The 7,967-nt window shown below is 50.2% G+C and overlaps 1 protein-coding gene across 5 annotated transcripts, besides 2 other annotated features; it reads right to left on the reverse strand.

Moving 5' to 3' along the window:
* Positions 78-127: an enhancer, noted in NCBI's record as "active region_28311". NCBI's record gives its function as "activates an Ori minimal core promoter by ATAC-STARR-seq in GM12878 lymphoblastoid cells {active_cell/tissue: GM12878}" and the evidence as "EXISTENCE:reporter gene assay evidence [ECO:0000049][PMID:35858748]".
* Positions 255-304: an enhancer, noted in NCBI's record as "active region_28312". NCBI's record gives its function as "activates an Ori minimal core promoter by ATAC-STARR-seq in GM12878 lymphoblastoid cells {active_cell/tissue: GM12878}" and the evidence as "EXISTENCE:reporter gene assay evidence [ECO:0000049][PMID:35858748]".
* DCTN3 (dynactin subunit 3) lies at positions 952-7,901 on the reverse strand. 5 transcript variants are annotated; one of them, NM_007234.5, is made up of 7 exons: positions 7,775-7,901; positions 6,082-6,166; positions 5,291-5,377; positions 3,436-3,519; positions 2,116-2,174; positions 1,448-1,507; positions 952-1,277 (listed from the first exon to the last, which is right to left on the reverse strand). In NM_007234.5, the coding sequence occupies exons 1-7, from the start codon at positions 7,868-7,870 to the stop codon at positions 1,188-1,190; spliced, it is 561 nt and encodes a 186-aa protein (NP_009165.1). In that variant the 5' UTR covers positions 7,871-7,901; the 3' UTR covers positions 952-1,187. The 5 variants fall into 5 exon arrangements, with proteins under 5 accessions (NP_009165.1, NP_001268355.1, NP_077324.1 ...); NM_001281426.2 differs by having other exon boundaries at positions 1,448-1,538; NM_024348.4 differs by having other exon boundaries at positions 1,448-1,604.
* Positions 7,902-7,967: the final 66 nt, after the last annotated feature.

Below are 7,967 nucleotides of genomic sequence, written 5' to 3' on the forward strand. Positions count from 1 at the left end.
GAGGGAGTGGTGGGGAAATCGGGCCACAGCCCCTGACGACACCTGCCGCGGAGTCTGGGGGCTGAGGGGGCGGGGGTGCCCACGGAGCCTAGTATGGTGCCTGGCGTATGACCGGCGCTCAATATTTGTTAAATGATTTGTTACATTAATGAACCAGAGAAATCGCGGTGGGAATGGAAAAAAGATTAAGTTGGGAGATACTAGTAGGTTCAGTGACGAGTTGGCCACTGTTTGGACGGAGAAGTAGGAAATTCCGATCTAGGGTGACTCCCAGGTTTCAGATCGGTTTGGACACGCTGAATTTGAGGTGCCGGAGAGGTCGCAAAGGCGGGGCGGCCAATGGGCCGTTGGAAAAAGGGTCTGGAGCCAGAGCACTCCCTGAGACCACAAGGGGGCAGCAAACATTTGGTGGACTACGGTGCCAATCTGTTTCTCAACATGCTTGCCCCAGCGCCCCTACTTCCCAACTTCCCCTCCCCAGGACCAAAACTTCCTGCATCCAAACCTCTTAGGCTGCCCTTCTCGGCTCGTGGCAGCAGGTAGGCTCCCAAGAGAGAAATTTAAAGGCCTTTGCACATGCTGCTCCCTTGGCTCTGAAAGTCCCTGGATATCACTTACCAGGTCCCTTCAGTCCCTTTTTTCTTCTGTGTCCACCTGATAGGACTGCCCTTTTCCTTTACTGTCTATCCTGCTAGCCCGTGCAGGGCAGGGATTAGCCCTATCTACTCCCATCATCTGACATTTGGAGGTCTCTTATTGGTAAATGTGGGATAAATGGATACATAAAGGAATATCCTATTCACATAATCAAATGAGAGCCTTCATTTTGAGAGCTCTACACCTGCCAGAAAGCCAGACCAGGATGAGTTTAGTTCCCAGTCAAACGATTAGGCAGGCTGACACCTCTGCCCCCTACCACCTCCATCCTAGACCAAGAAGCCAGCACACTCCTCCAGTCATCTCTATGGTTTATTGTCACTGAAATAAGAACACTGATTGGGGGGAGGGTGGGTGTTGCAAATTGCAAACCTCAGGTAACCTGACCTCCAACTTTAGAGCCCAGAGTACAGAGAGGTGGGCCTTGAAGCCAATAAATACAAAGCTTCCTCTGCCTTGTAACAAAGGCAGGTTGGCATAGGGCCCTGGAGCCTGACTGCCCAGGCCCACTTTGGGATGGGGAGCAGCTATCACTCCTCTGCTGGCTTCACTTGCGTGGCGGCCTCTAGCTGGCAAAGTAGCTCATCCCACTGCACGAATTGCTTGGAGAGAAGCATTGTCTGGTTGTAGGTCAAGGTGAGAATAGGAATCTGAGTGAGGAAGTTCATGGAAAGTGGGGAACAGGCAAACATAGGTGGGTAGGATAGGATGAGAGAGAGCTAGAGGTGGAACAAAAGGACAGGGCTTAGGGACAGCACCCATTAGGGTCCTAGTTGAGCAGAAAGGATACAGTCTTGTTGTATTCCTCCAGGAGAGCCTTGGACTCCTCAGTGATTTCCACACACTGGTCCTGTAGGGCCAAAGTGTAGCACAGAAAGGAACTGGGCAAAGCCCACATCTTCCACTAAACTTCCTGCCTCATCACGGACTCCCACTCCCCATGGAGCCTAAAAAAGATGACGCTTAACCCCAAAGCCAAAGGAGCAAATGGCTATGGGAGCACTTTCAGGCTCCAGGATGGGTGCCCTAACAGCAGTCCAAAGACGGATGGAAAAGGGAGTGGCCATACATTAAGTAAACATTCCCCCTAGTGTATGTCTCTTCTTCTGTCCTTATTTCTGAACTCTCTTTGAACTTTACACTAGGGCCTGGGAATAGTGAAAAAAGAGCCCCTCTACCCACAGTCAATGACATACCATCCCCAGGAATTCTTGGGTACCTCCCAGCCTCAACCTTATGGTGTCCCAATAAAGTCCTGCTCTGGAAGCAGAAAGTTTGTACATGAACCTAGGCAAGTCCCTTTACCTCCCTGGGGCATATGCAAGATAAAGGATAAACCCCAAAGTTTCTGCTGAGGTTACAACAGAAAGGCCTGAAGCTGCTTCCCCAGGTGGCATGAGTTGGGATGAGGTGCTGCGCCACCTCCATCTTCGCTTCTAGTCATCTCCCCTCCCATACCTGCTGCTGAATGTGGATCTGGGCCAAGCGCTGCAGGCGGGCAGCATGCTCAGGAACGGCTGTAAAACACAACACACACTGCTGGATGATGCTTGTGCCCTCCCCCGGGACTGCTCAATAGTCTATTAGGTCTTTGGCAGGATTAGAGTATTGAGTGGAGAAGCTAAACAAACGCCAGACTTCATCGACTGCTGCAGCTGGAGGTGGCAGTGGGGCTCCCTGCCCACTCCAGTCTTACTCCAGGACCCATAGGGGAGGGGAAGATACATGTCCCGAGGAGAAGACAAAACCTTGGGGTTCCCAGTGTTGCTCCCTACCCCCACCCCAGTGCTATAAGCAGGACCAGGTAAAGAGAGCTTTGGCTATTATAGGACCTGTCCCTTTGCTCTCAGCCCAGCGGGGGCAGGTCTGCCTGGCTTAGGGAACAGGGAGTCTGAAGATGGATGCCAGGTCCCTAAGCTGGAATCCAACACGCCAAGGCTTGGCCACCATGCTGGGCTCAAAGCTTAAGGCTGTCAGATACTCAGCGGGCAGCTGATCAGGGGTAGGGAGGGGGAGCTGGGAAAAATACCTCCACAGACAGACAAGATGGATATCTGGATTCAATTAAAGCCACTATCTGCTTGTCAAAGTCCAGGCCCAGGGACTGCTCTCAGCAGTGCAGCAGAAAGAATTCACATACATTCATGGACCTGGCAGAGACTCTGATAGTAAAATCTGGGTTCTGCAGCACCTTGAAGAAGAGATGCTTGGGGGTAGGTAGAAGGCAGAAGGAATCCCCAGAGCTGGGGACTGCTAGAGCTTAGGCTAGTGTTCTCAGGCCCAAATTGCCTGAGGTCCTAAAACTGGGCTCTCTATCCTGGTAATTTTAATTGGTGGATGTGGCAAGTACCTCAGGGTGAGGATAAAGATAAGGAACAGGCCAGGCACAGTAGCTCACGCCTGTAATCCCAGCACTCTGAGAGGCCGAGGCAGGTGGATCACATGGGGCCAGGAGTTTGAGACCAGCCTGGACAACATGGTGAAACCCCGTCTCTACTAAAAATAGCCAGGTGTGGTGGCACACACCTGTAATCCTAGCTACTTGGGAGGCAAGGTGGGAAGTTTGTTTGAACCAGGAGGCAGCGGTTGCAGTGAGTCAAGATCATGCCACTGCACTCCAGCCTGGGTGACAGAGTACGACTCTGTCCAAAAAAAAAAAAAAAAGATAAGGAACAGACCCAACCCGAATCCACACAACCTGAAACACAGGAAAGTCTTGCCCATCCATCCACCTACCTCCCCAACCAGAGTAGTGAAGCTATAACCCCAGAGAGATACCTTTGATGTGAGCACTGTCCAGCATGGGCACCAAGGCATTCACCTGCTCCAGGAGTGCAACCTGGGAAAGGATAAACTGCTCCTCTAAAGCAAAAATGGACAAGATAGTTGCAGTGAAGCAAACCTGGGCATTGCTAATCAGCCCATGTAAGGGCCTGAGGACCTGGCAAGGGAGATGGCTAGGTCCTAGAGCTTTGGACAGTGACTCTGTCCACTGCCCCCTTCTCTAGGTGCACATTTCCATCCTGCCCCCAACTCTCCTGGATGCCTCAGGTCTGACCCATCTGAGCCTAATGAGCCTCTCAATTTCTCCAAATCCCACCTTTCTCCAAGGTTTAACTTCAAGACCTCTTCTTCTAGCCTCCTATCAACAAACTCAGGGAGCACCTCCTAGGCCACAAAATACAAAATACTTCAGACTTGGATCCCCACACCCAAGGGTCCCCAGGAAGGTCTAAAAGAGATATGTGGCAGACTACGCCAGGCAGGTTCTGCTCAGTGGCTCTCAGAGGCATAGACAATTATATGCTGGAGGAGAGCTGGGACAGTAATGGAAGAGTCCAGTGAGGAGAGCAGGATCTGGGCTAGGCCCTGTATGCACACGGGATTTCAATGCACTGAAATCCATAGAGTGGGAAGGGTATTCAAGAGAGAGGACTGTTACGTGCAAATGCTTAGAGGCAGGAATGCCTGTCAATTAGTAGAGGAGAAAGAATTCAATTAGCTGAACTGGAGTAGGGAGAGCACAGGAAACAGAGTTGGATGGGAGGGTAGACCCGGCCGACTGAAAGGCTTTGAATGGCAGACTATGGAATTAGGACTTTATCCTAGCAAGGCAGGATACACTGAGGTTCCAAAGTAGGCAAAGTGACATGTTGGGAACATGTTTTTGTGAGGGTGAGACTGAACCACATGCAGGAAGGGAAAGATTAGGGTCAAGAGTATGATTTAGGAGACTGTGCAACCATTCATATGCAAGTGGATGCACAATTCCTGAGGCAGTGCCACAGGGAGGGATGGAGAGGCTGGACTCAAGAGTCAGTGCAGGAGAATATCTAAACTTGGTGCTTGAGCGATGGCAATTGACCAAGAGCCCTTTGGGAACTCTGACAGCCCTTTTAGCAGGAGTGGCCCATCCTTACCCAGTCCTCAGTGCTGCATTGCACTGATCAGTCTCCTGGGAGACTGATCTCCCATCTGGGTTATAAGCTCAGGTCCCTGAAGCAGGGACCCTGTCTCCCCTAGCTCTGGCTGTGCCCATGAGGGCAGGGACTTTCTGGTTCACCACTGTATGCTTCCTCACTTAGGAAAGAACCTGGATCAGAGTAGATGATCATTATACATCTTTTGGATGAATAACGAAGCTCAAAAAACCCTAGCTTATAGAATGGCTGACTGATTAGCAGACATTGCCAAGGCAATAGTTCCTGCCTAGAACTCTGACACTGCAGAGCTTTCTCACATGAAAGAAAGATGTTGAAACTCATGCCAATACTCTCTCTGTTCTTTAATGGCAATGCTCTCTGCCCCTACCCTTTCCTAGAAGCTCCTCTGTCTAGTGAGCAGAAGTGAGGAAGGTTCTGAAGGAAAATCCAAGAGGCAAACTATTGATAGAACACTGGACTAGCTCCCACTGTGGCTGGCACCATGGCCTGCAGCTGGTGCAGAGGTATACTGTACTCAATGTCTACTAGAGGATCCATAGGATCCTCAACCCAGAACCAGGCCACAATTCCAGAGAGCAGCATCCAGGGCTTGTATCCACCAGAAGACTGGATGGAGAGGCCATCTCTGTGCTTAACCTCCCCGACGACCCACATCCTCAGATGCATGTACACATGTAGTCCAGCATTACCTGCTAGGATGAATTGCAGCTTAGAGGCATCAGGTATGGCAATGCGGTCGATGTACTCAGGATCCAGGTACTTGATCAGATCTTCAACTAGAAAAGTAGCAAGATGGAAAATGGAATAGGGTTGGGCAGTAGAGCTCTGCCTTATGAAGGATGTTTGACAAGTGGTCAGCCTTGAGGAGAGCCTTCAATGAGGAGCTGATACCCAACAGTGCCACATGAGCAGGGCTCCACCAGGCTCCCTATCCCCACTTCCCTATCTCTCCACTCTCTTCTCTTGAAGTCTCTTCTGACATCAAGCTTCAGAGCTGAAAACACAATTGCCACCACCACTCTGGGCCCTTAGCATTCTCACTGACCTATCCTCACCAAGGGTAGAAGGCCTCTTTTCTCCTAGATGTCACCGAGACAAGCCAGAGCTTTGTCTAATTTCTAGTTACTAAGCAGGTTACTAGTTCTGACATAACCAGGATCTCAGTGTCTAATTTGTTTCCTGCCCCTTAACCTTGCCTGGGAAATCCCATACCCTTTTTACCCTCCTTCACCAAGAGAAGCTTTCAGGTAGAGCTCTTATTTCATAACTTAGGACACTGTCATGGGCTTGAGGTTTAGCCACAAGGTAGAAAAGCACACCACAATTTACCAATTGAATTGGGTGTAGGTAAATGTCCTCATAATCTTTCTATCCCCAAAGGGCTATTCCAGTGACCTAATGAACTGAAGGGCTAGGGCCAGGTACCAGGAAGCTGAGGGGTGGGATGTCGGGCAGGCAGGCACATCATGGAAGCACTTACTCTTTTTGTAGAGAATCTTCACCCTCTCCCTCTTGCTGGAAATGTTCCCCAAAGCCACCTGCACCTTGACCAGGCCGTCAGCCACCTGTAAGGGAAGTGGTGGTTAATTCCAAGATATACTACCTGGCTCAAGGCTTGGAAAAGTTAAAGAACCCTCATTCTCCCAGACTCTCAAACCTGAATCCCAGTAATCTAGGTTGGCCTCCCTTCTCTAATATTAAAGGAGATGCAGCCCCACCTTCCAGGAATCCTTAAAGTGGAGAGAGAGAATCATGTACTCCTTGGGGAGTTTCAAGTCTGATGGGGAAGATAACGAACTATTTTAGAGTCTATGGAATATAGAGTATACACAATATATTTTCTGGTTCCTAAGTCCTGGGTTTGGGCATGAGAAACACAAGCATCCTCATTCAAGCCTTCATGACCTCTAGATTGGCTGGCCTACCTCTAGCCCTATCCCCTCCACATCAAATTTGGTGTGGGAGATGGAAGAGTCCAAACAACTGGGATCCCAATGATGGTGCAATCACTGAATTAGGGAATACAGAAGAGAATCAGGTTAGGGGAGAGAAAGAGTACAGTTAAGGGCATACAGATTGAGTTTGAAATGACTATTGGATATCCAAGTGGAAAAGTCCAGTAGACAACTAGACATAAAAGTCTGGTTCTCAGAACAGAAATCTGGACCAGAGATATACATTTGAGACATATTGACATGTAAATAGTAATTGACACCATGGAAGCGAGTGAGCCTACCTAAAGTTTAGGGGTAGAATGTAAAGAATCCCAATATTAAAGGGTCAAATAGAGGAGGAGACTAAGGAAGTGACTGCACTCACCCAGTTTTTAGGGTAGAGGATGAGGAATGCCAGGGGGGAGGCAAATAACACTGAGAAGCAGCCGTAAGAGGTAGAAGGAAAACCAGGAGGGTCAGCGTCATAGATCCCAAAGGAAGAGAATGTTTGAGAAGTTAGTTCTGAAATGGGAGCACAGTCTGCTAGTGACAACTAATTCCTCATTTAGTGTACAAACAGACATCATTACCTTGGACGCACTTAGCTCCAGGACATGCCTGACACGCCATCAGAAGTTCTTCAATAAAAGATCTTCCCATAGTAGAAAGGGGAGGAGAGGGCACCTGAGCTTCGTAGTTGTCAAAATTCTGTCACTGGTATAAAGCAGTGCTAGTCCACATCTGAATACCCAGTACCCAGTCTCTTCCCTTCCTAATCCTGGTCCTTTCAGACCTCACTTCTCACCCTTTGGCGTTTTCCTTATCCACCTCTGCTCTGCCTCCCCAGGGGTCCCATGGACCTCTTCCTGCACAATTCATTTAGCAATTAATTATGCAGGGCTCTATGACGGGCCTTCCTATCGTGGACTTCAGCTCTTATTGAAACTCTCATTAGTCAGCTTCTCGTGTCAGGTCTCCCCAACTATAGCTCGCGAGGGCAAGGGCGGAGTCTCAGCTACAGTAGGTACGGAGCCCACTCTCAGGCTGGCTTAACCACCCGCAGAGCCCCCTATGACAGTGGACCCCGATGGTCCAATCAGCTCTGGGAGGTCCCGGACCTTTGTTATTTCAAAGGCCGGGCTGCGGAGAACAGGACTGGAGCGGTTGCATCCCGAGGGCCAGGACAGTGGACCGCTCTTGCTCTGCTCCAGAAAGGGACTACCGGACCAGACTACTCACCTTCCGTGAGCCGCGCGCCCCGCCCGGCCCGTACACCCAGCGCTCCAGCTCTTCCACTCGGGCCTGTAGCCGCTGCAAGTCAGTCAGACCCGCCATCGCTACTACCGACCCACCTCGGCCAGGAAACAGCCAGAGGGCGGGACGTCAGTCCAAATAAGAAGGCTAGCCAATCCGAGTGCACGAGCGGCCCTTT

This window comes from Homo sapiens, chromosome 9 (genome assembly GCF_000001405.40).
Source record: "Homo sapiens chromosome 9, GRCh38.p14 Primary Assembly".
Classification (NCBI taxonomy): Eukaryota; Metazoa; Chordata; class Mammalia; order Primates; family Hominidae; genus Homo; species Homo sapiens.

Bases quoted from the DNA above. Each gene is read 5' to 3' on its own strand.
- DCTN3 (NM_007234.5), bottom strand. From the start codon at position 7,870: ATGGCGGGTCTGACTGACTTGCAGCGGCTACAGGCCCGAGTGGAAGAG. The intron at 6,167-7,774 runs GTGAGTAGTCTG...CTTCCCTTACAG, and splicing joins GGGCGCGCGGCTCACGGAAG to GTGGCTGACGGCCTGGTCAA. The intron at 1,508-2,115 runs GTATGGGAGGGG...TTGGCCCTACAG, and splicing joins AGATCCACATTCAGCAGCAG to GACCAGTGTGTGGAAATCAC.